General features: G+C 56.5%; 2 protein-coding genes across 22 annotated transcripts in view, besides 7 other annotated features; one reads left to right on the top strand and one right to left on the bottom strand.

Moving 5' to 3' along the window:
- The window catches only part of TSPAN3 (tetraspanin 3), a 29,706-nt gene extending 24,178 nt beyond the window's left edge, over positions 1-5,528 (top strand). For all 4 annotated transcript variants that reach the window (NM_001168412.2, NM_198902.3, NM_005724.6 and 1 more), the window contains one exon: positions 5-5,528. In NM_001168412.2, coding sequence (NP_001161884.1) covers positions 5-97 — 93 coding nt within the window. In that variant the 3' untranslated portion in view covers positions 98-5,528. The remainder of the gene's footprint in view (positions 1-4) is intronic.
- Positions 2,595-3,794: an enhancer, noted in NCBI's record as "BRD4-independent group 4 enhancer chr15:77335480-77336679 (GRCh37/hg19 assembly coordinates)". NCBI's record gives its function as "activates an origin of replication core promoter dependent on BRD2, P300/CBP, MED14 and CDK7 cofactors, and independent of BRD4, by STARR-seq in HCT116 cells {active_cell/tissue: HCT116}" and the evidence as "EXISTENCE:reporter gene assay evidence [ECO:0000049][PMID:35650434]".
- The window catches only part of PSTPIP1 (proline-serine-threonine phosphatase interacting protein 1), a 42,796-nt gene continuing 24,354 nt past the window's right edge, over positions 9,457-27,898 (bottom strand). For 3 of the 18 annotated variants that reach the window (NM_001321137.1, NM_001321136.2, NM_003978.5), the window contains 12 exons: positions 21,614-21,648; positions 21,328-21,434; positions 19,018-19,080; positions 18,280-18,378; positions 17,358-17,403; positions 16,351-16,430; positions 15,654-15,752; positions 14,538-14,634; positions 13,980-14,070; positions 11,369-11,424; positions 10,997-11,130; positions 9,457-9,887 (listed from right to left, as the gene is read on the bottom strand). In NM_001321137.1, coding sequence (NP_001308066.1) covers positions 9,756-9,887; positions 10,997-11,130; positions 11,369-11,424; positions 13,980-14,070; positions 14,538-14,634; positions 15,654-15,752; positions 16,351-16,430; positions 17,358-17,403; positions 18,280-18,378; positions 19,018-19,080; positions 21,328-21,434; positions 21,614-21,648 — 1,039 coding nt within the window. In that variant the 3' untranslated portion in view covers positions 9,457-9,755. Of the gene's footprint in view, positions 9,888-10,996; positions 11,131-11,368; positions 11,425-13,979; positions 14,071-14,503; positions 14,635-15,653; positions 15,753-16,350; positions 16,431-17,357; positions 17,404-18,279; positions 18,379-19,017; positions 19,133-20,759; positions 20,817-21,327; positions 21,435-21,613; positions 21,649-22,400; positions 22,566-27,898 lie in introns of those variants that run through there. The other 15 variants (XM_011522165.3, XM_011522168.4, XM_011522163.3 and 12 more) reach the window with 15 other exon arrangements.
- Positions 11,167-11,802: an enhancer, noted in NCBI's record as "H3K4me1 hESC enhancer chr15:77327471-77328106 (GRCh37/hg19 assembly coordinates)". NCBI's record gives its function as "activates a minimal SCP1, AML or CMV promoter by ChIP-STARR-seq in naive H9 embryonic stem cells {active_cell/tissue: H9 hESC(naive)}" and the evidence as "EXISTENCE:reporter gene assay evidence [ECO:0000049][PMID:30033119]".
- Positions 11,803-12,440: an enhancer, noted in NCBI's record as "H3K4me1 hESC enhancer chr15:77326833-77327470 (GRCh37/hg19 assembly coordinates)". NCBI's record gives its function as "activates a minimal SCP1, AML or CMV promoter by ChIP-STARR-seq in naive H9 embryonic stem cells {active_cell/tissue: H9 hESC(naive)}" and the evidence as "EXISTENCE:reporter gene assay evidence [ECO:0000049][PMID:30033119]".
- Positions 13,078-13,715: an enhancer, noted in NCBI's record as "H3K4me1 hESC enhancer chr15:77325558-77326195 (GRCh37/hg19 assembly coordinates)". NCBI's record gives its function as "activates a minimal SCP1, AML or CMV promoter by ChIP-STARR-seq in primed H9 embryonic stem cells {active_cell/tissue: H9 hESC(primed)}" and the evidence as "EXISTENCE:reporter gene assay evidence [ECO:0000049][PMID:30033119]".
- Positions 24,766-24,815: an enhancer, noted in NCBI's record as "active region_9888". NCBI's record gives its function as "activates an Ori minimal core promoter by ATAC-STARR-seq in GM12878 lymphoblastoid cells {active_cell/tissue: GM12878}" and the evidence as "EXISTENCE:reporter gene assay evidence [ECO:0000049][PMID:35858748]".
- Positions 26,942-27,071: an enhancer, noted in NCBI's record as "active region_9887". NCBI's record gives its function as "activates an Ori minimal core promoter by ATAC-STARR-seq in GM12878 lymphoblastoid cells {active_cell/tissue: GM12878}" and the evidence as "EXISTENCE:reporter gene assay evidence [ECO:0000049][PMID:35858748]".
- Positions 27,261-27,833: an enhancer, noted in NCBI's record as "H3K4me1 hESC enhancer chr15:77311440-77312012 (GRCh37/hg19 assembly coordinates)". NCBI's record gives its function as "activates a minimal SCP1, AML or CMV promoter by ChIP-STARR-seq in primed H9 embryonic stem cells {active_cell/tissue: H9 hESC(primed)}" and the evidence as "EXISTENCE:reporter gene assay evidence [ECO:0000049][PMID:30033119]".

The following is a 27,898-nucleotide window of genomic DNA, read 5'->3' as shown; positions in this document are numbered from 1 at the left end:
ACAGCTGCTGGGCATGCTGTGTGCTTGCATCGTGTTGTGCAGAAGGAGTAGAGATCCTGCTTACGAGCTCCTCATCACTGGCGGAACCTATGCATAGTTGACAACTCAAGCCTGAGCTTTTTGGTCTTGTTCTGATTTGGAAGGTGAATTGAGCAGGTCTGCTGCTGTTGGCCTCTGGAGTTCATTTAGTTAAAGCACATGTACACTGGTGTTGGACAGAGCAGCTTGGCTTTTCATGTGCCCACCTACTTACCTACTACCTGCGACTTTCTTTTTCCTTGTTCTAGCTGACTCTTCATGCCCCTAAGATTTTAAGTACGATGGTGAACGTTCTAATTTCAGAACCAATTGCGAGTCATGTAGTGTGGTAGAATTAAAGGAGGACACGAGCCTGCTTCTGTTACCTCCAAGTGGTAACAGGACTGATGCCGAAATGTCACCAGGTCCTTTCAGTCTTCACAGTGGAGAACTCTTGGCCAAAGGTTTTTGCGGGGAGGAGGAGGAAACCAGCTTTCTGGTTAAGGTTAACACCAGATGGTGCCCCTCATTGGTGTCCTTTTAAAAAATATTTACTGTAGTCCAATAAGATAGCAGCTGTACAAAATGACTAAAATAGATTGTAGGATCATATGGCGTATATCTTGGTTCATCTTCAAAATCAGAGACTGAGCTTTGAAACTAGTGGTTTTTAATCAAAGTTGGCTTTATAGGAGGAGTATAATGTATGCACTACTGTTTTAAAAGAATTAGTGTGAGTGTGTTTTTGTATGAATGAGCCCATTCATGGTAAGTCTTAAGCTTGTTGGAAATAATGTACCCATGTAGACTAGCAAAATAGTATGTAGATGTGATCTCAGTTGTAAATAGAAAAATCTAATTCAATAAACTCTGTATCAGCCCCCAACATATTATTTTTCATTATTTGGGGGATATTTCAGTTCCAGAGCAGCAGTATCATGTTTTCTTTGTTGGTGCTGTCTATAGTTCATCATGGTTTACGTGTGTTTTCGTTATAGCTGTTGCCAGATTCTAAAGGGCTTGATATTCAAAAAACCACAGATGCTTTCAGTCCAGTATATCCTAGAAATATAGAGCTCTACTTTGTGCAATGCACTGGGGATACAGTGGCGATACTGTCCTTGTCTTCAAGGAGTTCGGAGTCCTAGTATAGGAGACATACATAGGAGAAGATAATTTTCACACTGCAGTGGTTGTAGTAATAGAATGGGAGTCCAAAGGGGAGTTCCGGAGAGGTCAGGGGTGACTTCCTGGAGGAGATGCCCAAGCTTGGAGGCTGGATAGGCTTTGTTGAAAGATGGTACACAAGAGTGTGAAACAAAATTGTGTGTGCAGGGAGCTTAAAATACAAGGCTGGGGAAAGAAGTTGGAGAAGCAGGAAAGCCCAGGCCCTCTAGTGTCTTACGGAACATCCTGTGGAGGTGAGAGCTGACTTGTAGGTGGAAGCAGCTCTTTGGAGGTTTGATTTGGAAGGTGAACTGAGAAGAAGGTGGTGATGCAAGCCGGCCGTGCTGAAGCCAGGATGAATTGGTGTGACTGGGCTTCAGTTAGGCTGGCATAGCAGTTGAGAGAGCTTAGCAGTGGGCAGCAGGGCACTGTTGGGGGCGGTGGTGAGCGGTGGATTCTGGCTGTTTGGAGGCAGGACAGTGGTGGAATTCGATCATTGATTGGACGTGGGACAGAGAAGGGAGAAGAGAAGACTCATCTAGGATGAGTCCCAGGTTTCTGGCTCAGTCAACTGGGGAAACAAAGTCACAGAGCTAGGGAGTAGTTAGAGAACACATCTGGGGGTGTGACTCATGGTCAGTTTTGGGCTCGTCAGTTTTGAGATGCCCAAATATCATGCAGATCTGTCCCACCTGAAAATGGAGAAGACACGGGAAAGGAGAGGAGTAAAAACTAACTCCTTTTCACAAAGTGGAAGTTACCAGAATGTGATTTCAGAGGCCCCGGGGGATTTATCATGTGACTACTGACCCATCCCACCTCTTGCCCCTGCCTGTTGCACAGTGGGCAAGAATGTTTGTGACCTTTCACTACCACCACCTCCCCCGAGCATGGTCCCCCCAGTTTTCAATATGAACCATCCTGTGGGTACCCTGTCACAGGCTGGCCCTGAGGTGAGCAATATTTGGACTGTGATGTTGGTTGTTCTCCACTCTTTCTACAGGACAGAACAGGGCCTCTAGAGTGGGAAATGGCTTTGGGAAATATGCCAAGCAGTAGCCTTGTTCTTCAACTTGCCCAAGAGGATAATTCTCCACACCCTTCCTGTACTCAGTCCTCAGTTTGCCTGGTGAGAGAGCAGCCTCCTCCCGTGTGCTCTGCCAGCTGGACCCAGACTGGCCATATTACCAGTGAGACCAAAAAGATGGAGGTGGGGAGGTAGCTCTGAGGTCTGGGAAACCATTCCAGCTCCTGCCAGTTTTAACTTGTGTTTAATTCCTGGCACAGTTGTCCTGGAAATGCCTTTTTCTCTTGCCTGGGAACCACTAGAAGGGGATGTTGTCTGTGTTGGCCAGGGCCATGCAAATTCAACATCTTGTTTCTGCCCTTCCCCCGTGTAGCTGAGGCTAGGTGTTGGCATTACCCAGTGCTTGTTCTTCAGAGAGCAAAAGCACTGCTCGTCATGTCTGAAATTTAGTGAGTGAGCTCACCCACTAGGCTGGTGTTTCCTGCCCGTGGCTGCACATTGGAAGCACCGGGGCACTTTGAGAACTACAGATGCCTGGGTCCCAGAGCATCTAAGGTGCTCTAGGGTGTGTCCAGGACACAGCCCTGGTTGAGGACCACTGCTATATTGTATGGCCTCTTTTAAAAAAGTTAATTTTACTTGGAAATGATTTCAAAGCTACAGAAAAGTTGCAAGAATAAAAACTGTACAAATGAGGCTCAAATATCCTTTGCCCAGATACACCTATTAACATTTCGTCCCATTCTATCTGTCATGTGTGTTCTCAAATGTGTGTGCGTTCTCTCTCCCTTGCGCCAACCCCCTGTCTCTCCCTCTCCCTCCCTCCTGCTGCCTCCACACCTGTCATGGCCTTTTACCCCTAATACCTCAGTGGGTACTTACCAAGAAGAAGATACTCTCTGACGACTGCAGTACAGTTGTCAAATTCCGTCCATCTAACACTGATAGAATACCTCACCACTCATATTCCCATTGGCCGCATCGTGTCCTCTATAGCACCTTTCCCTCTGCGGTGCTGGATCTGGTCTGGATCAGGTAATCAGTTGAGTTGTCATGTCTCCTTGGTCTTCTTTAATCTGGATCATTTCCATAGCTTTGTCTGTGATGATAGGAACAGTTTGTAAGGATACAGTTCGTTTTAGGTGGTGCTGCTTATCTGTGTTTGTCTGCGATTTCCTCGTGATTAGATTTGGTTTTGCATTCCAGGTGGCTGAACCACTACCTGCGTCACGCGGCCTCTCAGGGCATCGCATCTCGAGGCACACAATGCCCATCTGCCCCACAGTGGGGATGTTCGTTTTGATCATCTAGTCCAAGGAGGAGGAAATGTGAACAGGAAGGTTTTAATATAAGTAATTGTTAACTGTGTAGAAGGTAGTTAACTACTAAAAGGGATAAAAAAGAGCTCTAAAGCAGCTTAGCAGAGAACAGCCATCACCCCTAGGGCTAAGGGAAGAGAAAACAGAGAAGGAACGTGGAAACTCAGAGGAGGTTCCCCAAGGTGGAGAGACCTCCGAGGGGTGGCTGTGGTTGCCTGGGATATGCTGCCTGTCCCATGCTGGAGAATCAACTTACTGGAGGTGCCCCCCCGCCAAGCCACAGGAGCAGAGAGCTGTCACGGTGGGGAATGCTGCTGGGACCCGTGCAGGACGAAAGGAGACAGAAGAAAAAGGCCATCTTCCTCCTCTAGCCTTGTTAGCCCCTTCAGAGCCCACTGTGGGTCAGGCTGGCAAAGGGTAAAGGAGTTTTCAGAGCCCCCTCTTCAGTGTGACAAGGAAGGGCAAGGTCAGGGAAATTTGGAGTTAAGAGGCAATAAATGAGTACCTGGCACACCTAGTCGAGGTGTGTCCACTTTCTCCATAGCATGGTTACTGTTTTTTTCTTTTCAACTAATAAGAAATCTCTGGAGACACACTGTCTCCATGTACATACCCTGTTCCTCATGAGACTCTTCCCCATTCCCCGACCAGGTTCAGCAAATGTTGCTGATTCTGGCCTGATTCAATCTTTATGATGACTGCCAAGCGACGTTTCTGCAGCCCAGCACTCCTTCCTCATTTGCCAGTCATCCCTCCCTTCTCCTTCATTTATTTTCATATATCCACTATGGATTCCCATTTTTTCAAAAGTCGACTTCATCATTGACCTTTGGGGATGGGGGAAGAGTTCCTCAGATAGTTCCCGACTTGGCCAGCGAGAGCCCCTTCGAGTGCCTCCTATATCCCAGCATTTTTGGAAGCACTCCCCTAATTTCTGATCTAACAAGATGTTCCAGGCCCCTGGGCACCAGCCATGGATCAGTGTTTGTCCCAGGAGCCCTGGTCCCTGGCACTAGGTGTGCTTATTGCAGCTGGGGTGTCTTTGCTTCTTGTCCTATAGATGATTGACAGAGCTTGTCTTACTGCCTTTTTTAAGTGTATTTTTTTAAACAAAAGTAATTGGTGCTTTAAAAAATGTGAACAATACAGACATCTGTAAAGAAGTACCCACAGGGAAGCAAGTTCAGCAGTTCAGCAATGGCATGTGTCTTTGCAGACTACATACACAGAAACAGACTTGGTATTGGGTTTTGGTTTTTGCTTTTTGCTAATAGGAATTTTATCCTACAAGATCCTCTTTCTGTCTTCACAACATAGTCTGATGCTCCTTCCATGTCTAACTGTAGGATTTGTCATTCCATTGTGTTAGCTGTGTGGGTACATTAGTACCATGATTAACCAAGGTGTATAAAGGGCAGGCCTGCAGGCTGCCTCCAGTGCCTCCACTACTCGCCACAGTGATCATCTCTATACACACACTGCAGTCATTTACAATTTTTAAAATGAAAACAATTTTTATTGAGATGCAATTCACATGGCATAAAATTAACGATTTTAAAGTAAAGAAGTTGCCTTGAGTACATTCACCATGCTATAGAACCACTGCCTGTATCTAGTTTCAAAGCACTTTCATCACCCTGTGTCATGTATTTTTACATGAACTCCAAGGGTGGATTCTTGTTAGTTGGATTTACTCTGGATGGAAAAGTCATGTTTGGCTGGGTGCAGTGGCTCATGCCTGTAATCATAGCACTTTGGGAGGTCGAGACAGGTGGGTCACTTGAGATCAGGAGTTCAAAACCAGCCTGGCCAACATGGTGAAACCCATCTCTATTAAAAATACAAAAAATTAGCAGGGCCTGGTGGCATGCACCTGTAATCCCAGCTACTTGGGAGGCTGAGGCAGGAGAATCGCTTGAACCGGGAGGCAGAGGTTGCAGTGAGCCGAGATTATGCCACTGCACTCCAGCCTGGGTGACAGAGCAAGACTCTGTCTCAAAAAAAAAAAAAAAAAAAGTCACGTTTAAACATTTTCATGGATACATCTGGTTGCTCTCCAGAAAGCTTATATCAATTTCTATTCCCACCAGCAGTGAATGAAATGTGCATTTCTTTACACCCTTGTTGACACTTTTGGTGTGATCAGCCTTCATCTTTTCTTCCATTCTGAGAGATGAAAATATGTGTTTATTTGACTGTTAGCTAGGGCCAGGATGCTTTTAAAGGTGTTTCAGCCATTTGTATCTTCTGAATTTTGCTTCTGTCCTCTGCCCGGTTTGATTGGTTATTGGGTTTTTTTCTTTCGGATCTTAACAGAGTTTACTTAGGAAACTTTTCTGTGAAGCTTAATGTCTGTAGCTATTGTGAATGCAATGGTTTTCCTAACTTATTTCCGAGTTGGTGGTTGTTGGTGTGTAACAGCACCTGCTTTTTGGGTGCATCCTTGCAGTTCTTGAAAATAACTTGTGTGTTGCACGTGGCTTTCTATTGCAGTGCCTGTGAGATCTGTGAGGTCTCCTGAGGGTGTAACACAGTGACGTGGCAGAAACCTCGTATCTACTGAATGGTGCTGCTGCATTGCTATTTGTGGGGAAGTTGAGTCATACATAAATCCTGCTCCCCTGAGTTTATCCAATGAAGAAAGTAAGACAGATGTAGAAATTATAGGGTAGAAAAGAGACTTGCTGATCTTTTTTTTTTTTTCCCCGAGACAGAGTCTTGCCCTGTCATCCAGGCTGGAGTTCAGTGGCACGATCTTAGCTTACTGCAACCTCCGCCTCCTGGGTTCAAGCAGTTCTGCCTCAGCCTCCCACATAGCTGGGATTACAGGCGCGCACCACCACGCCTGGCTAATTTTTGTATTTTTAGTAGAGACGGGGTTTTACCCTGTTGGTCAGGCTAGTCTCGAACTCCTGACCTCGTGATCCGCCCGCCTCCGCCTCCCAAAGTGCTGGGACTACAGGCGTGAGCCACCGTGCCCGGCCTACTTGCTGATCTTTGTTATCCCACCATCTGGCAGGTAGTGGGCACTATCACCTGAGATAAGTCACTATGGTGCCATAACTGTTTTTCAAACTTTTAAAAATGTTTAGCTGAAGATCCTGTTAGCCAGGGGTTTCTCAGCTCCGGCTGCGTATCAGAATCACCAGGAGAATGTTTCAAATATTTATGCGCAAGCTCAGTTTGCAGGGATTTGGTTTCAGTTTGTCTGAGGTGGGACCCAACCATCAGCATTTGAAAATCTGCTCAGGTGACTCCGTTGAGCAGCTGGGTTGAGAACCACTGCACGTGCAATATGTAAACTCTCCAAGTAGATCTCGAAGTGGAGTGGGTGCCCCCTTTCTCCTCCCACTGGCCCCTAAGAGGGCTCTACTGAGCACAGTTTGATAATCCCGTGAGGGTGCTGAGGGCAGCGAGCCCAGTTGCTGGTGCGACCTTGTCCTGGGCTTGTGTTGGCTCAAAAGCCGGGATGGAGAAATAGGCAGACACCCAGGTAGTCAGACCAAGGCAAGCAGGTGACCCTTATGCTGAGGTTTCTTGGCCTAGGAAAGGCTGTGAGAGTGGTTGGAATTAGGTGTTGGACACCAGTGGCGCGTGCTTCCAGTTTGGCCAAACGTGAGTTGCTGCTTTTTGTCATCATTGCGAAGGATTCACTGACATAACCACAGCTGTCCCAGAGGGTGTGCTGAGCGAGGGGGATTATGCCAAGCGCAAAGCTGCTGTTGAGTGTAGCCAAGATTCAGAGGTTGTGGGTCTTTTCCTTAAAAGTGGTATCCCTTGCTGGTAAGTAATACCTAATCATTGTTTAATTTGAACCTTAGGAGATTTTGCATGGGGGCATATTGCACCCATCTTACTGATGCTGAAACAGGCCCAGAGAAATTGTGACTTGCCTAAGACCACCCAAGAAAGCGTGAGCCTGGATTCAGGCCCTGATGTTGTGATTCAGAGACCATGCTTGTCCTCCTGCTCCTTGCTGTCTTTGAGTGGCCCTCGGTCAGGAAGAGGCTGCAGTTATTTATACACCCAATTACACGCTAACTCCCTCTTTATCTGGCACCGTCTCTGCTGGGAAGGCCATCCATCCATGCAGTTGGTTCCCAGCAGCTGAGGTGGTGCCCAGTGATGGGAGAACGGAGAAAGCTGCAGAAGCAGTGAATCTGACTTGGATTCATTTGTGGGCATTCTCCCCCTGGCATAAATTGTGACCCAAGAGTTGCTTTCAGTTCTATTCTCTGGCCACCCGAATGACTGGAGAACAGACTCTGTTATCTAGCACTTGTTACCCATCACGCTCTGGGGCCCACAGACACTGCGGCACCTGTCAGAGATGATGATAAATATCTAGGCCAAAGGTTTTTTAAAAAATCTTTGCAGTGGAATGGAATGTTCAATCAAGATGACAAGGCATCTTCAAGGAATAAGTAAAGTATTGATACCTTTTTACTCTTTCCTTTCCCTTCCCTGCCCACACATGGCCCCACCCAGTGGTAAGCCTACGCGGCTGTCCCGCCTCTCCCAGCCCTCGCCCAGGCTTTGTTCCCGCACCACTCCCCTCCAGCTCCTCCACCTGGGGAGGAGCCCATCTTCAAGTCTGGGCTCCGAAGTCACTCCTCACCTCCTCACTTTCCCTCTCTTCCCACCCATCTCCCATCCCGTAAGTTACCAAGTCCTGTCCATCTGCTCCCTGTGTTCTTCCAGAGTTGCTCTCCAGCCCAGTCACCACTTCCCAGACAAGCCACCCTCCCCTCTGCTGGATGGCCTGCACCAGCCCCTGGAACCACTCCCCCCACTTACTGCCTCACATCTCAGGGCCTAGAGGGTGGCTGTCTGTCCTCCTGGGCTGAGTGAGCTCTTTGAGGCCCCTTTTAGCACCACACCCCCATCATCAGGTACAGTGTGGGCCACACATGAGTCATTAGAATGTCCATGTCTCATGCTTGCTTAACTGAACCCAATTTTTTGCTCAAGTAAAGATCAGGGTATAAAGATGGGCATTCTGTCTCTCTCCCCCTCCCTCCTTTCTCTCTCTCTCCCCCTCCCTCCTTTCTCTCTCTCTCCCCCTCCCTCCTTTCTCCCCCTCCTTTCTCTCTCTCTCTCTCCCCCCCTCCCTCCTTTCTCTCTCTCCCCCCTCCCTCCTTTCTCTCTCCCCCCTCCCCATGGGGAACAGCAGTGCCCTGCAGCAGCTCATCAGTGTGGTCCCAGCAGAGGAGGACCACTGTGTCCCCCATCCCGCCCCTTACAGTCCTGGGCCTGCCTGGCTCCGAAGCCGGGTGGGGATCCCAGGAGGGTGTGAGGTGGGCCGGCTTGGCCACTCCCAGGACTGAGGAGTGGTCAATGGCCAGGGGCCCTCTCCTCCACACCCACTCCCAATGCCTTTGGCATGGATGAAGCCTATCATGGTTGGAGCAGGGCTTGGCCAGCAGTGAAAGTTATGTTCCTGGGACTAAAAAGAGAAGGGGCTGAAGGCCTTCAAGAACAGCTCCCTCTGTGCCCGGGGCCAACGTGCCTGGGCTGTGGACCCCTGCTCGGCCGGGGTTGCCATGTTGAGGGGAGTGTCATGGGCAGCAGTGGCTTCCCCAGGCCCCACTTGCACCCACAAGCCACAAGCCTGTCTTCCTGGGCTCCCACCATGGCCTCTCCAACAGATCCATCACCAGCTTCCTGTTTCCAAACTGAGTCCTCCGAATATTCCTGGGTGTACCCCCAACCTCACCTTTGCCCACGCACTTGCCCTGGCCTGGCCACTGCTGCCCAGCCATGGACCTGCTCAACCCTCCGCCCCCAAGAAGCCTGCTCTCCCCATTGCAGCCCTGCTGAGCCCCTTCTTGCCCCTGCCACATCCTCCTGCACCCCTGTGTCCTCTGTCCAGGTGTGAATGTGTCTCCTTGGCAGTCTGGGAGCTCCTAGCAACTGGGGCCAGGCCTCTTCTCCAACTATAGCTGAAGCCTCGGCTGAGTTGGGGAGCTCCACATCCAGGCTCCTTCCCTTGTTCCTTTGCCTCCTCTGAACTGAGCACTCGGACACTGGAGCAGGAGAAAAAGAGAACGGGACCCCAGCACACCAAGGAGAACAGAACGCACTCCTTTATTCCCTGGGAGACGACAGGCTCCCTCTCGGGGCTGGGGGACGCTTGGTTCTGGGCCCTAGCAAGGTGGGGACAGTGCTGGGGGCACTGCTGGCTCCACTGGCAGGGCAGGTCCGAAGGGGCTCCTGGCCCTTCCTCAAAGCTTCTCCAGGTAGGAACCAGGGACGAAGCCACGCTGCCCGTTCCTCTCCACAGTCCACCAGCCATCCTCCCCTTCCAGGATCACCTCCAGGATGTCTCCCGCGGACAGGTCCAGCTCATCTGGGTTCTGGCCAAGAGATTGAAAGCGCATGACGTTGGAAGGGCCTGCAGGGAAGGGCCTGCAGGGAGGGGCCTGGCGTTCCCCCACCCAGCAGTAAATGCGGCATGTCTCCCAGGGTGGGCAGGGGCAGCCCCTTGGGGACACAGGATGGGGGTAACCCAACGGACCGGGCCTCCCATCCCCCTCAGTTTGTCATCATAGTTCTCCCCCAACCTGGGTTTCTTCCCAGCCTCACCTCCCCTCTCCCATTCTGGAGACGCAGTGACTGGAGCATGTCAGGGGTCACGGGTGCTCATCATACCCCAAGCCCAGGGCACACTCATGCCTAAGCTTACCACAAGCCTCCCCTTTGCGGTCCCCAGCCCCAGCTAGCCACTGCCATCCAAGTACCCCATCACTCTCCTGGCCTGGCTTCCCTGCCTCCCCGAGCCCTGGCCTCATCAGTGGAGTCCACACCCAGCCTGCCTGGCTATGTGGGGGTGCTTGGCCTCAGTCCAGGTGGATGTGAGGTCTGGCTATGCATTCTTCCCCTCAAGCAGGGAGCAGAAAGGACTCTCATAGCTGCCCTGTGGCTGCCTTGGTTCATCCTCACCCTATGGACATCAGAAAATCAATCCTGGCACGATAGCAAGACTCATTCTGGCCACAGTTTTCCACACCCATGGCCACGAAGGACAGGGCCCTGACCCAAAGGCACAGAGCCTGGCCCTCAAGCTATGACCTGCAGGCAGCTCCAGGCTCTGCCAGCTCCCCGCACGTGTGCACCACTCAGCGCCCAGCCTGTGTGGACGGCATAGGTACATGTGCTCCACGTGTGTGCTGTGTACAGGCCCGGGCAGACACAGGCCTGCTGCACACCAGCTTCCAGTCAGTACATGCACACTGAGGCCCCGCAAGCCCTGGGTGCTGTTCTCAGAGCTCACATCCAAGCACACTCCCAGGTACCCTTGCTAGTGTGGACACACTCGGGCACACGTGCCCTCCTGAGGAGGAGAGGATGCTCGAAGATGAGTGAAACCATGAGGAGAGATGAGGACGCAAGGCACTGGATGGGAGAGGGAGCTCTCAGGTGCAGGGGAGGTGGCACAGGTGGGTTTGGGGTATAGAGGCCTCACCTGCGCTGTATAATCGTAGAGCGCCCGGTACTCCTGGGCTGGTGAGGCCGGGTTTCCCTGTATCTCCTGCACTGCGATGGCTGTGTAGACACCCTCATTCCGCTCGGGGGTGGGGGTCAGGGTCTCTGTGGACGCTAAGAGCAGGGTGAGACATAGACCCCTCCCCTTCTGGGGACACTGGCCCCTGGAAGTCCTACTAGAATGGGGTTTCTCCATGCTGGGCCCTGCCTCTTCCTTCTGCTGTCCACACTTGCTGTTGGGGGACACACACTTCCTCTTGAGGGCCTCAGTGGCCCCATCTGTGCCATGTGGGAGACCTCTCCTCCCCCCCAGGATCAGTGTGTTTGGGGGTCCCCTCCTGACCCCCTTTACCAGCAGAAGCTGCCAACGAAGTGGTCTTGGGACTTCCGTGCAGCAGTCCAGAGAACCTGGGAACAGGGAGGAAAGAGGGTGAGTGTCCCCGCCCCACACTCAGGGACCCACCAGGAGGGAGGGTTTAGACAGGGAGAGGTCTCAGAGCTGCACGCGCTCTGCCAGGGCTGGGACTGCCCCTAGCCTCCAGGCATGGATGTCATTTATGAGGTGCCCCTCAGGCAGGAGGGCTCCCCAGAAAGTAGTCCTGGTGGCTCCTCCTTCCCCAGCTACGCCCTCCACTGGCGCCCTCTGCAGGCCATCTCAGCACCTGCTCCCTGCAGGGCCCTTGGGAGGATCCTAGAACCCCCGAAGCTGTAGCTTCATTGGAAGACTCCCATGGCCCTTTGGGGGTTCTAGGACCTCCGCACTGAGGCCTCGTGGGAAGATGCCCAGTCCTCACCCTCCAGGCCCCTGCTCTAGCTTGCCCTAGCAGCTTCCCCCATGGGTAGGGGTGGGGGGTGCACTGCCACACAAAGCCTGGCTCACGTGCCCTGCTGAGGCCTCCACTGCCTGGGCCGAGCCAGCCCTCCTCCCTGTGGGCCCACGGTGATCAGGCCAGCTCAGCCACCCTGTTCACAGGAGTTCCGGGACAGCGCTGGGCTACTTTACCCCTGCCCCTGCACCAGGCTTAGGCCTGGACTGAGCTGGGGTCATGAAGGTTTACTGAATAAAGGAAAATAAAACAGAAGAGGCAGATGCGGCAGATGCTGGGGGCACCCCCTGAAGTGGGCAGTAGTGAGGGCTCAACAAGTAGAGGCTGACACTGCCTCCAAGGCAAGAGGGCTTCTTAGTGGGGTGGGGCTGAGTCTTCAAAGATGAGTGAAGCTTTACTAGGAGAGAAGGGGGAGCGAGGCACTGCAGGTGACCAGGAGAGGGAGGGCTCAGGTGCAGGGGAGGAGGCATGGCACAGGTGGGGTTTGTGGAGTGGAGTGGACCAATTTGGGTGTGTGGGGGACAGGACTGAAATAGAGACTGGACCAGACCCTGAGGGATCTTGAATGCAGGTGAGGGGCTGAGCCATGACTCAGGGGCCTGTGGGGGGCAGCCCTGCAATTCAAGGTGGCATGTGGGGGGCCTTTCCCACATGAGGCGCCGAGGGCCAAGGCCCCAGGAGTGCACACACATGCGCAGGGTGGACATGCGTGGACCCAGCACATGGGAGGGCCTGACACCAACACAGGCGGGCAGACACACGTGCCAGCTCCCCAGGCAGCAAAGGACAGGGTGCAAGCCAGCAGGGGCTGGGGACAGGTGGAGGAAGCGGCCAGGGCAGGGGGAAAGGGGTGCAGGGCTTGCTGAGCCATTGTGCTGCGTGCCCCCACACCTCTTTTCCCCAGACTGTCTACACTTCTGACTCCCAGTCACTGACCCCCGCCTCTTCCCAGTCCTGCCTGGCTTCTAGATGCCCCATCCAGAGGCCTGACCAGCCCCCTCCAGCAGCCAGGCCTCCCTCGGCCCTGCAGGACATCTCTCTCTCTCTCTCTAATCCTCTCTGGGGCCACTCCTTTCTGCCCCTTCCTGATACTGCTTCAGGTGAGCTCTTTTGTCCAGTTGCTTAAATGACCACCTTTGCTGGGATCCAGGTCCTCACCAGGCACAGGGAAGCCTGTCTCACAAGCTTTTGTAGCATGTGAGGCTGCGGGTGTGCTGCCTCCTGGGGTCACTGCTTGCACAAGATTCTCAAAGAGGGTGTGTGTGTGCCCTCTCTAAGCACGGGTGGTTCCCACGAGCCTCTGCCTCCCAGGAGTAGGAAGTTCCAGGGGCTCCTGAGGCCCTGGAATGAGCTGGTCCTTGGGAAGGGCCGGGAACTGCATCAGCCTCTCCCCACAGTCCACTACCTCCCAGAGGCAGGGCCTTCTTGGTTGAAGGGTGGCTGAAGAGTGGTGGCATGGCGGTGGGGGCACAGGCACCATGTGAAACCCACAGACCCTTGTGGATGCTCACAGGGCACATGGCCTCCCTCAAAGGCCTGGCTACGAGGGCTCCCTAAGCTGGCTATAGTGCTCCCAATGGGCTGTCACCTTCGTCACTCAAGGCCTGAACCAGGAGAGTCCTTAGATTCTGAATCTGACCCCAACACTCAGGGCCCTGGCCTTAGAGAGTGTGAATGACTTGCCCAGGTCACACATTGAGGCCCAGCACTAGGACCTTGGCACTTGACTGCAGCCAGGCCGGGGAAGGAGCCCTGGAAAAGCCTGGAGAATTCTCCAGATGCCCCAGTCCTGCTCCAGCCAGACAGCGTTGCCACTGCAGCCTGACAGGGCACCAGGCTCACATGAGGCCCCAGGGACAAGGAAGCCAGCATAGGGGCCTCCCCAGAGCTCGGAGCACCTCCCCTAGTGAATAATTGGGGTGTGATTATTCTAGTGTCTGGGTCCCTTGGGCTGAGGGTTCCATAGGCTGAACTGAGCCTATCTTGTCTCCACAGAGTGCCCAGCACCTAAACTGGGCACCAGATACAGACACATAGTAGGTGCTCAGTGAACGAGGAAGGGCCAGGTGCAGAGGAGGGGCTCGACCCACTTCCTGGCCCAGCCTTAGGCCCTCCCTCCGTCTGTCGGGGCCTCACCTCTTTATCATGCCGCAGGACGGCTGTATGCCAGGGCTGCTGGTCAGCGGGGTGACCTCCCGATCGTAATAGTTCTGGTAGGGCACCGGAGCTGCAGACAGCAAGCCGTGAGCCCCAGGGCGGCCCCCAACACCCCATTCTGGCCCTGCCAGACTCAGCTGGGGCCCTACATTCCCAATCTGGCCCTGGCCCATCCTGGTGCCTGAGGAGGTGCCTGTCTTGCTCCCATGAGAGACCCCACCGTAGGTACCATCAAGACCTAATATTCTGGACCCGTGATCCAGTGGAACCAAACAGGCGGGGAGTGGGGGCCGTGGGAGCTCCTCACCTCAATCCCCATCCCCACCTCTTCCTCTGAGTGCCATCATGCCCTTAGCTTTGCCTGAGAGGAGGCAGCAGGCCTGGGACCCAACTCCCCACAACCCCTGCTAGGGCTTCTCTGCCCTGAAGGGAGCTGTGAGCTACCCCAGCCCGGTCCTGGCACTTGAGGCTCAGGGCCGGGCCTTCCCAGGGGCTCAATGCACCTAGAGGCTGCGCTGTCCGCAAGCCGGACCTCACCGGGGGGCTCTGTGCCCGTGCTCTTGGCCTGGATGAAACTGTCGATGTCGGCGTCTATGCTGCAGCCTTCCAGCGTCAGCCGCACTTCCTCGTAGAGCTGGGGCAGGAAAGAGCAGAGGCCGCAGCCCGATGCCCACTCTGCCCCTCTGTGGGCCTGAACTCTGACCAGCGGCCCCCACCCACCGGCCTCCTCACAGGCCATTGTGCGCGGCTCGGGGTCTTTGATCCTGAGGGGTCACGGCCCTGGCTGACAGCTTCCTGTTTCCTGAACACCTTCTGTGTGCAAGGCCCTGTGCAAGGGACTTAACTCACACCTGTCCTCTAAGGTAGACCCCACTTTTCCCATTGGATAGATGAGGAAACTCAGAGGAGAGTGACTTGCCCAAGGTCACAGCGAGAATGCAGCACAGCCAGGCCTTGGGGCTAGGAGAGTGGGTCCAGAGCTCGCCCTTCTACCTCAAGGAGGCGAGGAGGCAGCAGGGGGCTCGAGTCACTTGGGCAAAAACAACAAGAAAATCAACCCCCACAGCCCCGGACAGGAGCGTCAGGCAGGAAACACAGCAGGCAAGGGGGCCAGGGCTGCCCGGGAGAGCCGTGTGCTGGGCTGCATCCATCCACAGAGCTCAGGGACCCTGGCTGGGGGCCCTCTCTGCTGGGGAGGACCCACCCAGCAGGTTGGGCTCAGTAAGGGGAACCAGGACACCCTGGAGATGTGGGGAGCAGAGGAAGGACTGCGCCTCGGCTCCTGCAAGCACCAGGCCTAGAGCAGAGCAGCCACGGTCCTCCAGCTTCTGCCAACCTCTGACAGCTGTGTCCACCTCCCCTCCCATCCCCGGCAGAGGGGGCAGGTGCTCTGTGGCTCTGAGGCATAAGGAGGAAGTCAGGGGAACCACAGAGTCATCATCTTCCAGGCAGAGAAGCCATGGCCCTGTGTGGTACTGAGCTCCTGTCTTGGGGTTCTGGGGGCAAAGGCTGAGCTGCTGAGGCCTGAGACCCCTGGGGCCAGGCTTGGATCACAGAGGACCAGGTGCTTGTTGACCGGCTCAGATGGACCTGGGTGCTTTGCTGCCTAGAGGCTGCCCTACCTTACCCCACACCAAGGCCCTCAGCCCCCACCTCATCATCCTTGACACACTGCATGGAGAGCTGGTTGCTGTGCACCCACAGGGCGTTGCGGAGAATGGTCAGCCGGTCAAACTCTTGCAGCTGAAAGGCCTGGGGGCAGTGGGAGGGAGGTGAGCAGTGAGGAGGCGGCTGCAGGGCCCGGCCAGGCTGGGCCCCATTCACAGCTCAGCCGGAGCTGACCAGGCCAGCCCTCTCTGCTGGAAGCCCAGTCCAAAGGAGAGAGTGCCCTGGGGTCCCCATCCCGACTCCGGGCCAGCCCTGAGGCTGCAGGGAGGGAGGTGGAGATGCCCAGGGGGTCCCTGCCCCAGCCTCCCTTCAGGCTGCACCACACCGAGGCAGAAGGGTAGTGAGAGGGACCTCGGACGGGAGTCCTGAGCCCTGTTCCCCAGGCCCTGTCCATCGGCAGCACCCAGAGAGGCTGTGGGTTTAGTCCAAGTCCCAGTTTTGGCTTCAACAAAGAGGGTGGAAGAATGCCTGCCTGCAACGAAGGGGCCCAGGACTCAAGGCCAGGCGACAAGCAACAGGGCCAGGGCCCAGCACAGGCCTGTGAGCAGGAGGCTGAATAAACGAGTGAGTAACAGGTACCTTCCCCAACTGCCTCACTTGGGCCCCTTTAAGCAGCTGGAGTAGGGATGGGCGTCTCACACTTCCCAGCTGGGGAAAACGAGGCTCCACGTGGGCCACTCACCTCACAGGTGGTCCGGTGCTCCTGCTCCCACTCAGCCCGGACCTTCTCCAGCTGCGCAATGCTCTGCCTGTATACCCGCTCTGAAAGCGCAGGCAGCCTCAGGGAGGGCCCTGACACGAGCTCCTCCACCCCTGTACTCCAGCAGGTCCCATCCTGGATGCCTCCTCCCACTGGGAGCCCCGCCTCCCCCATGGGACCTGCCCTAGCAGATGGCGGGGCCTCATCTGAATGCCCGTCAGGGCCACCCACGCTGGTGCTGCTGCTGCTCCCCAACTGTGCTCTGAGCTGCCTGAGGGCTGGAGTGGAGCCTCATATATGCAAGTCCAGAGTATTGGCCTCTGGGCATCTCTGGGCGCCCCACCTCACTTTCCAGAGGGGAAACTGAGGTTCAGAGAAGGCAGCTGAGAGGGCGCTGGAGGAGGGGTGGAGTCCCACAGGCTTGGGTCACAACTTCTGTGCCCAGATCTCTGGAGGTCACCTGTCCCCCAGCCGAGGGAGTAGCTGAGTCCCAGTAAAGGCAGAGCAGAAGGGAGAGGCCTTCCCAGGGGAAGGGAGGAGGGTGGGTGCTGTGTCTGGTGGGTGGGGCACCAGCAGGGACAAGAGTGTTGGTAGGATTCGGGCATCAAGTGAAGGACAGAGGCCCAGAGAAGGCTATGTGCACAAGTCCTGGGCTCTGAAGCCCGATGGCCTGGGTTCAAATGCAGCTGTAACCTGGGGCAAGTACTGGACCTTTTAGTGCCTCTGTTTCCTCATCTGTTAAGAAAGGGAACAGTAACAGCAGCCACCTCGGAGGGCAGCTGTGAGGACTGAACACATGAAGCGCCAAGAAGGGCTGGCGAATGGGGGAACACAGCGTTTACTTTGACGGCACATATCTGGAATGAGAGCGCCGCGCCCATGATTGTGCAGCCAGGGGGAGTGTGTGTGTCCCCAGGGTGAGGAGGTGTGTGTGGGGAGTACCGCCCAGGCCTCCGCCCTGGTCGGACGGGGCAGCCAGGCCCACATACCTGCCTCGGTGGCCGAGTCCTTGCACTGCCTGGCTTTGTTCTGACTCTGAGGAAACAGAGGGGAAGCAGCGCTAAGCCCCTGCCCCAGGAGCCAGGGCCCACCCCAGCAGACCTGAAGTGACTGTCAAGCTTCCCCGGCCACCCTGGGGGGAACATTCAGGAGCCAACTATGGGCAGATGCCATCATCCACAAGCAACCTCCGCCCACAGAGGACCACAGGCTAGCTCCATGGAAAGAGAACGAAGACAGGAACCGAGCCCAGGAGGATGCCTGTGAAGAGTGAGACCACAACCCACAGGAGAGGTGCAACTACTGCTGAGCCCCCTGGCTGGGACTTGGGCTCTGGCCCCTGACTGACTGCCCCCAGCTCACCCTCAGGCCACTTCCCTCTCTGGGCCTCAGCCTTCCTGTCTGTGCAATGAGTGATGTGTTTCCTGGGCTCTGGGAGCTCTGATACCCCCACTCTGGCCTAGGGGCCACAGCATCAGGAGCATGGGCTCTAGACCACCTGAGTTGGGGGTCCCTTTTCTGCTGCTTCCTGGCTCTGAGACCTTAGACAAGTCACTTACTGTGAGCCTCAGTTTCCTCTCTGTGACATGGGCCTACTGAGCCCTTCTCCAAGGTTGTGTGAGGGTTGGCGTCTGCTCTCATCACCCTGTGGGCCTCAGTGGGCCTGCACCGAGGAATGGGTCCCTGAGTGCCGCCTGACGGTGGCAAAGGGGATCCAGCTGACCTGCCTGTCCATGGCCTGAGGTTCTCTCCAGGAAACCCATTTCACAGATGGGGAGATTGGGGGTCAGAGAGGGCTAAGCAGCATCCCCAGATGCAGATCTTGCCTGGGGGTGTCTACGGCACCCCTTCCTTGCCTCCCCCACTGCCCCCAGCCCTGGGCGACCCACACGGCCCAGCAGCCCAGCGCACCTTCTCCACCTGCTTCTGGTGGCCGTTGGCGCTAATGCGCTCGAAGGCCTGCTCCGCGTCGTCCGCGTCCCGGCACTTCTGCTCGTATGTCTTCTTGGACTGGGGGTGTGGAGGGGCGTGACTTGGGGGCTGCACAGCCCTGTTCTGTGGTCCCCGGGAGTGAGGCTCCCTTAGCCCAGCCTCCCTTTTTCCCTGGCGAGGGTTGCGGGTGGAGTGGGGGCATCCTCACCAGGGACAGGGATCTGGGGGTCCGGAAGGAGATAGAGAAGGCGTGGGGGCTGCTGGTAGTCCTGCTCTCAGGCCCTCCCCACTGAGGACAGCGCGGCCTGCCCCGGGCCCCGCCTCCTGGGCTGTGCTCTTCGGCGAGGGCACGCCCCTCGCCACGCCCCTCGCCACGCCGCGCCCTCTTAGGAGCCCCTCTCCCTTCCTGTCCAGCGTCTCGCAGGATCAAGCTCAGGGGTCCCTCCTCCCTCCACCCCTGGAGTCCCCAGCTGACTTCATCTGCCCTTCATTCACGAGCCCCACAAGGGAAGGGCCCGGGACCATCCCCACGGGGCCATAGCGCCCAGCACGGGCCCAAGCGCCCCGCAGGCTGGTGCGCCCAAGGCCGAGGTCCGAGGACCAAGGCTGAGGTCAGCCTGTTCCAAATGCCCTGCCCGGGGCCACAGCCCAGGATCGCACCCTGAGACCTGCGCTGCTCCTCGAGGGAAGGCCGCGGCCCCAGGCCCTGGCGCTCACCTCCATGGCCTTCTTGTAGAGCGACAGCTTGCTCTTCTGGACCCGGTCCATGACGGCCTCATACTGCAGGGGACACGAGGTTCTGAGCCGAGGGCCGCGGCCTCGGGAGGCTCCCCTAGGCCAAGAGGACGGAGTGTCCCTGGGATGAGGCGCAGCACCTCTCCTGGCTCTGGAGAGAGGGTGACAGGCTGCCCTCCCTCCCCCAGAGCCTGCTGCTTCACAGTGACCCTCACAATGGAAGGCCACAGAGAATCACAGGGCATGGGTGTGCCGTGAGGTCCTTGCTGCAGACCTTGGCCAGAGCTTCGTCTCCAGCTGGGGAGTTCCCACCCCAACACACGTGCGCACACAGTCGTTCATCCTGCATCCCTGAGCCTCTGCAGGCATCACAGTCGCTCACACGTGTGTGTACACTCTGGCACACACATACATGCAGAGTTCCACATTAACTCGGAGGCACACAGGCCCCATCCCTAGCTGCCCACACGCATGATCACAGGCATTCCTGTGCACACCCACAGATGCCACTCACAAGTACACACTCCCACAGTCACCCACACACAACCACAGGCCACATGCAGGCACAGTGGCCACTGGGCCCCTGTGCCGAGGTCTGGGGCCAAAGCCTCCCCTCACCTCCCAGGCTTCCTGTTCTGATAGAGAAGGCAAAACAGCCAGGACAGCGACTGGGTTATGAGGTAGGAGGAGAACTGAGCCAGTTTGTGCCTGGGGTCTCAGGGGAGGGGTTCTGTGCCAGCTGGGAGACCAGCGAGGCACAGGCACTCACACACACACAGCACAAAACACCCAAGTGCACAGGGCTGGACAAGGACACATGCTCACAGGCATATGCAGGGGAGCGTAGGCACGTGTGCACCATCCTGTAAGCACATGTCCTTGCTCTGTGGCACACGCACATACACACACAGGCTCAGACACACATGGCACACACTACAACACAGCGCTCTGCCTGCGGGGCCCTGGCCACTTGGAGAAAGAATGCTCTGTCCAAAACAGCCTTTGCAGCCAGTGCAGCTCCTCTGGCCACAGGAGGGCCCAAAATAGCAGGGCCGGGGTCCCTCCTTCCTGGCAGGTTCTCTGCAGGCTCTGCGGGCACGTCCCAGCTCAGAGAGGGTGCCTGCTCCGGCACCTCAAGCCTGGGCTGGCTTCTGGGGACCCCCTGTCTGCTCAGAACCCCACATTTAGAATCCTGAAAGCCCAGCTGGCAGATGGGCAGGTGGCACGGGCAGCCACGCTACATTTCTGCCAGCAGAGCTGCTAACCAGAGCTGGAGCCCTGTCTGTGGAGACTGAGGGGCGCATGGCTTGGGCTGAGCTCCCAGCACTTGGGAGGTAGACATATGTGTCCCATCCTGTGAGAGGGAAACTGAGGCACAGAGATGGGAAGTGGTATGGCCAGGACACCCAGGCCTAGCCTGGCCCCAGCCTCAGGTACAGCTTCTTCCCCTTCAAGGCTCAGTTGTGACTTTTCATTTTCAATTCTTTGGCCACTTCACAACGATCCTTCCTCCCCAGGCAAGAAGCGGATCTGTGTGCTGCCCTGCCACCCTGTGCAGGGCACCACCCTCATCACTAAGGCCCTGAGAGGCTCAGCCCCCATCCTCACAGGCCCAAGCCCAGCCTCCAGGCCAGTCTGCGTCCTGCCTGCCCTCCAGGGAACCTATATCCAACTTCAGCCCTGCAGCCTCCCTGACAAGCATCTGCCAGCCTCTGCTTACACACCTCCCATGATGGGGACTTCACTTCCATGCAGTCACTCTGTCTCGGGACAGCCATGCCCTACATATGGGTGAGAAGTACCTTTGGATGCTAAGCAATGCCATACAACTCTCCCACCCCAGTCTGTGTCTGACCCCTCAGCCTTGGGCAGTCCTGTGGGGTGACTGGCTGCAAGTCTGCCTTTTTCCAGGACAATCAGCCCTGATCCTTGGACTCAAGACCAGTTTCCAGTGACCCCCACAACTCAGACTGCCTCCTCTGGACACTGCCAAGTTGCCACAGACCCTCTAGAGTCTGCTGTAGTAGGATCCTCCTAGGCGTGAGGCAGCTCGACAGGAAGGACCTTCCATGGGGCTCTGGGACTAAGAGTTGGCCTTAGTGCCAGCGGCCAGGCCTCTGCCCTCCCTACCCACTTCAGATCACCCTCAAGCCCCAAAGCCTGGAGTGCTGTCCCACCACCACCCCTGCCGCCCTCCACTGGCTCTACCAGGAAGGTCAGCCCCCTACCCCCACAGCAACTGAGAGGCTGGCAATGGGGGAGCAGCTCCCCCGCCCCCTGCACCTGCCTCACCTTCTTCCTCTGCTCCTTCTGCCTCTCACGAAACTCCTCGAGACTCCGCAGCTCCTCACGCAGGGTCAGGGCCAGCTGGATGTGTGAGCTGCCCACATTCTCCATTTCTGGGGGCAGAGCATGGATACTGGTCCCCAGTGTCAGATCTGATGGGCCTCAGCCACCCACAACTCACCCGTGTGGGCCAGCCCAGCCCCAGCCCCAACACCTCATCTTCTGTCCCCCCAAACCCTCCACCAGCCTCGCAGTCCCAAAAGATCCCATTGCCCCAGGGTAGGGGACTTACGCTGCTTCAAGGAGTCAAAGGAGGCCCTCAGGGAGCTGCAAAACAGATGGGTCCAGGTCAGGAGGAGGAGAGCACAGCGGGAACCTACAGTCCAGGCTGCCTCCCGGCGGGGTGGGCAGTGGGGAGGACTTTTATTTTGGTGGGAAGACCCTGGGTCACTCTAGAACCAAGGGACCCTTTAGCCAGATGGTGACCATCCACTGGGGCCCCAGACTGATTTCTGGAAGACAAAGCTCTCTGCAAATTAAAGCAATCAACCCTCTGCAATGTGGCAGAAGGAGGAGGTACCGAAGGCCCCCACCATCTGTGCTCCTAGCTGCATTCTTAGAGAAGAGGGGATTGTCTTCAGGACCCTCCCTCCCTCCCCTGAACTCCTCTCCCACATTCACAGCCCTCTCTCCTCGGCAGGTACCAAATGGCCCCAGGGTGAGGCTACAGGGGAGGGGACAGTGTTCAGATGGGCTCTCAGCAGGTGGCCCGGGGGATGTTTGGAGGAGGTTGGATGGCCGTGGGAGAGGCTAGCAGGGCAGGGCGCAGGAGTTGAGAGGTGGGCACTGTCTGCCAGGGAGGGAGGGAGGGAGGGAGGGAGGGAAGGGCCCAGCACTGCGCATAGGAGGCAGGGAATGATGGGCGGGGGCTGCCAGAATGAACACATAAAAACAGGACACCCAGTGCAATGTGAATCTCAGATGAACGAGCACTTTTTGAGTATAGTATGCCCCTTGTAGTATTTAAAACGGACTTTTATTTTTAAAGTATTTGTTGTTTATCTGAAATTCACGTTCACCTGGGCATCCAGTATTTTATCTGGCTCTCCCTGCAGCCTCTCTGTGGAGCAGCTCGGCTGCCCCCTGGCGGCCATATGGCCTCATGACGCCCACCGGACAGCCCTGGGTGGAGGGGGCAGCGCACCAGGCAGGCTTCTCAGGGGGCTTCTCCTCTCAGTAGACACCTGGGGAAGCAGAGGCCAAGGAGGAGCAGTAGCCTGGCAGGAGCCTGGGGATCCAGGCCTGGGGGAGATCGGTGGGGGCCAGGCCCCTCGCCCTAAACTCGTGGATCCCAAAGTGAGGTCCACAGACCAGCGGCATCAGCATCCGCGGAGCCTGTTAGAAATACAGATTCTCAGGCTCCTCCCCGACCTCCTGAGGCTGAGGCTTCGGGGTGGGGCCCGGCCCCAAGCGCTGCTGATGCCCATCCAGACGTCAGAACTGCTCACAACTCTGCCAGCACAGGTGCCTTTATTATCCCATTTCACAGATGAGAAGCCAAGGGTCAGAGGAGTGAAGGAGCTGCGCCCGTGGCCACCCTGCGGTAAGAGGCGGAACCAGGGAGAGGAAGAAGGAGAGGGGTGGCTGTGTGGTGACCCCACCTTCCCTTGTGGGGCTCAGGACTCTTCTCTGACTCCTCACCAGCAGTGGCACCTCCAATCCCTCTGCTTCCTGTCAGTTCACCCCTCAGCTCAGTCCCACTCATTCAGTTAGAGGCCTCCAGGCACAGCGTGGTCCCCGCACCCCCAACCCAGCCCTTACGCACACCACCCTCCAGCCCCGCCTCCTTCATGACCACAGCATACCCAGACCCCTCCCAGAGCTCAGGGCCTGCACATCCACTTCCCCGCCCTCACCTTTTGGGTCTCATATCTGACAGATACCTCAAATTCAGCGTGTCCAAAACCGGACTCAGCACCTGCCCTGCAAACCTCTCCTCTTCCAGGGCTCCCCTCTTGGCAAAGACACCACTGTCCACCAGCTATACACACCAGAAACCCAGGAGTCACACCAGGCTCTGTCCTCTCCCTTCCTTGCCGCCACCTTCTATTTTATCTCCTAAATCTCGTGACTGTCCTACGCTAGCTGCCACCACCGCTGCAGCCCCTGCCGCACCACCTCCACCTCCCACCTGTCAGCCCTGCTCTCTGCCCCTCCGCCCGTTGCTTCCAGGTGCCAGGCTCCATCTTGCCTCAGGGCCTTTGCACGTGCCCATCTCCATTGCTGCATCTTTGCCTGGCATCCTCTTTTGTCCTTTCTGAGCACTGATGTCACTTTGGGCTGGCCCAGCGGATGTCTGTCACGCAGCTGAACCATGAGCCCTTGAGGACAGGGGCAATGCCTGGCTCTCCTCCTCATTGTCCCCAGGCTCATAATCTAAATTTTCTCAACCCCAAACCCACCTGTGGGCCACCCCGGTTCATGGTCTCAGGCTGAGGGGTGCTGTAAGGAATCGCAGGTTCTGGGAGCTGCTGGCCCTTTTCCCAGCCCCCACCTGAAAGCTGGGAGCCTGCCTGAACGTACAGCACTGCCAGGTGGACATTCAGCCTCTGTCCCACCCCTGGGACAGTCTTGACAGTGATGGTCTGTGCTCACCTTGAACTCCCATTTGTCCCCATGACCTGGCTAGGCCTTGGGTACTGCATAGATACTGGTGCTACCTCTGTCTGGGGTACCTGGGCAGGCAGGCTTTGGCCCCTCCAGGCCCCTCTTCCTGTCCCCTGGGCTGCAGGCCTTCCTGCCCCAGGTCCCCTGTCCCCGTTGCTGGAACCATCAGGCCACCCTAGTTCAGCTCACACAACAAGGCCCAGAACACTCCTCCCTTTCTTGGCCCCAGATGAAATTTCAAGGAGGCAGCCTCAGCTCTGTGGATGAGAGGAGGAGCCCAGCTTTGCCCCAGAACCCCCAAAGTGAACAGCCTTGAGCTCTGATCTTGGGGAGGATCTGGGGGCCACATAAAGTCATTCTCTGCCCCATGAAATTCCTGCTTCCTCCCACCGTCTGTGCAGGGAAACTGTCAAGATCTCCCTGAGCACCTCTACTGTGTCTCCATCGCATGTTGAAGACAGGGTCCTGCACAGGCCTCTGCCTACTGCCATCTGTCACCAGTGCCTTCATGTGTAACTCATCCCATTGCCCTTTTTGACTCGGCTCTCAGGAAGCTCAGTCTGAAATTCTGTGCTCAAATACAGTCCAGATTTCCAGTGTGTTTCCTGCTCTGACCCCACTGTGTCCCTGCTGCCTGCCCACCAGCTGACAGGAGTAGCCCTCTCGGCTCCCTGTGCTGAGGCTGTGCCCACGATGAGCCAGCGTCAGGGGACATCTGACAGGAACAGGGCCTGGCTCTCTCCCGCCAATATCCTCAGCAATGTCGTCATTCTCTCTGAGTTCAGAGGAAGAGAGACCATGAAAAAAATTTTAAAAATCTCTCTGACAGGAAAACCACAGCATTTTTGGTTTGTGACAACTGGGGGTGAGGCAGGGACGTGAGGATTCAAACTTGCACCCCTTGGGGGCTGTACCTGCCCACTGGTAACCACAGAGGGGCTACAGGAAGCTGGCCTTGCCTTGGTTTTCCTTTGTTTCCCAAACCCCTGCCCTGTGCAGCTTCTGGGGGCATGCAGCACCCCCAGCACCTTACCTGACGCAGGATGAGCAATAGGGGAGTGGAGGTGACAGCTTTCTGAGGGAGGTGACATTTCAGGCAGGCCTTGAGGGATGGGTGGGACTGGGCAGGGGAGCAACAGGGCAACAGCAGGAGCAAAGGCCCAGAGGCTGGAAAGGAGAGTCAGGCAAAGTCTCTGCAGGGCTGGACATGTGATGTCAGCAATGTTGGTAAGCCCCCTGCAAATACTAACACTATCTTTTTTTTTAAGATGGAGTCTCGCTCTGCAGCCCAGGCTGGAGTGCAGTGGTGCAATCTGGGCTCACTGCAACCTCCGTCTCCCAGGTTCAAGTGATTCTCCTGCTTCAGCCTCCTGAGTAGCTGGGACTGCAGGCTCGCGTCACCATGCCCAACTAATTTTTATATTGTTGATAGAGACGGGGTTTCACCATGTTGGCCAGGCTGGTCTCGAACTCCTGACCTCAGGTCAGCCTCCCAAAGTGATGGGATTATAGGCGTGAGGCACGGCGCCTGGCCCTAATGCTGTCTTTAAAATGCACTGAAAGCGCTGGTGGGGATCCCTGGAGTTTGGGGACTGGGTCTTACTTGTCCATCCTCCATTGCCACTGCCCCACGGATGTTTGCTGAGTTAACATGTGAAGGAGGTACATGTCAAAAATCACTTAAGATGTAACCTCCTGTTAATTTCAGTGGCCCGAGCCTCCAGGCCTGAGGGTGGCTCCCGGCTGGTTTGAGGTCAGGGGACTGCAGAAATGCAGTACCTTCAGGCAGCAGTTCTGCCCTCAGGGCTCACTAGGCTATTTATAGGGTCACTTAACCACCTGGCTTTTGTCCTCGTTCTGCACCCTGTTCCTAGCCTTCCCATCCCCCAGTCCCCTGCCCGTTCTGCAAGGGGCAGGGAATGAGCATCCCATAGACCTGGGGGGCAGCTGTGGGCCTCAGGGAGGCCAGGGGCTTCCCCTACTCAGGGATGGGCCCTGGAGGGTGGGCCACCAGCCCCGATGTTGAAGAGCCGGGTCACCTTTCCTGAGGGCCAACACACACACCCCCCCCCCCCACAGGAGTCTAAGATGAGGAAACAGGTCCACGGCCACTGCTCACACTTCCCCACCAAAAGCCCTTCAGGTTGGCATGGGGAGGGGTAATTGGGTCTAAGCCAAGACTCTGACAGTAAGGCAAGGCAAGGTGTCTGGGAGGGCTTCCTGGAGGAGGTGGCGCATAAATGGGCCCTAATGCAAAGGACTAGGAAGGAGAAGGAAGTCACCCTCACTGTGCTGGACTCTGGCTAAGGAATGGCAAAGCCCTTTATTTTATTTTAAATTAGTGAATCCTCCTGACCCATCCAGGGCATGGCACATAGTAGGTCCTCAATTAAATGGTGACTAAATGGATGGAGGATGGATGCTTGGCCTACACCGAAAGGAACAGCTGCATGGCCTCATCAACAGTACTTCATGCCACATGGGTCAAGAGCAACACTATGGAGCCCCACTGTGTGCAGTGAACCCCTGTGGCTTGGCACTCTCTGCTTGTCCTTGTGACTGCCCAGAACACCTCTCCAAGTGACCATCCCCTTCCATAGGTACAGACCCTGGACTCAGAGACAGGGAGGACCATCCAGGGCCACACAAAGGATAAGTCAGGGCAGACCCTGCCCCACCTGGCCTTGAATAACCATGGCGCAATCAGGGCCGCCCAGAGCCTCCACCTGGCCCCTTCCTAGTTCTACAAATGGAGCAAGATGTTGCGTACCTCCTGCTTCCTGAGGCCCACCCTGCTCCCCACCCCCATTGTATTTTCTGTGGGTAGCTTCTCTTTCCCTGCTGTAAATCCCCTGTGACTCACAATCCCCTGAGCCTGCATCACACAGACCCACTCCAGCCTGGCTCCCATTGTGCCCTGCTGGGGCCACCCTCTCCACCTCTCCTGAGTCTCTGAGTTCTCCCCATGAGGTACCCTCTCTTTCTGGGAAAGTTCTCTTCCAGCTGGCCTGGAGGCTGGGAGGCCAGGAGACCAGGAGGGGCTCCCCTGGTCATGCTGCCAGGCCCCCACAGCTGCTCCTCCCCTGGCTGAGAGCTCTGGGCACTGCTTCCTGCAGAAAACACCTCCCTGCATACGTCCATTCACTCCTCACCATGTCCTGAGCCCTCCTCTGTGCCCAGCCTGCACCCGGCCCTCAGCCCTTCCCTTGGGAGGCCCTCAGACCATGTTCTTGTTGATTTGCACGGCAGCTCGCTGGAGTGGGAGGTGAGAAACAAACTTGGAGAGGCTAGGCGACTGGCCCACAGTCCCACAGCTCAGATTGGCCGAGCCGGGACCAGAGCTCCAAGGGCTCCTCAGAGCCCTCCGTCCTCCCAGGGCTGTGTGCAACTTTCTGGCCTCACACACGGCTCATGCCACATCTAAGCCTTCCTGTGATCTCTGGCTCCTGGTTGGAAGCAGGAGCCGCCAGGGTGCCTGGTGTCTTTGGGGGACCTTCAGAGTATGGCACATTCAGTTCCTCTCTCGGGGGAGAAGGCAGGAAGGGAAGGGGTTCCACAGCAGCTGCAGGGTCAGGCTCAGGGCCCCTCGGCAGGAGGACTCTGCAGAGCCCTTTCAAGAAGTTGGAGGCCGGTGGTCTGTCTGCCCCTTGGCCTGGCTCTGTCCTCACCCAGGGGGACAGTCTGGGCCTTCCCAGAGCAGCCCCTCCACTCCACTGTTAGGGTGGCTGTGTCCTGAACTCACCTTCATCTCCTCACCTGGCCTCCCACCCCAGCAGTCTGCGTGCAGAGACCTGTGGGGCTGGAGACTCCCGCTTCATCAGAGCCACTTCCCTGACGGCCTGCCCTCTAACCAGGCCTCAGCTAAGCCCATGGGCCCACTTCTTCCTTTGAGGAGGGCTGCGTTACTTTC

The sequence above is a fragment of the Homo sapiens genome, chromosome 15 (assembly GCF_000001405.40).
Source record: "Homo sapiens chromosome 15, GRCh38.p14 Primary Assembly".
NCBI lineage: Eukaryota > Metazoa > Chordata > Mammalia > Primates > Hominidae > Homo > Homo sapiens.
The sequence above is the reverse complement of the archived record's forward strand: the minus strand, read 5'-3'. Positions and strand labels throughout refer to the sequence as shown.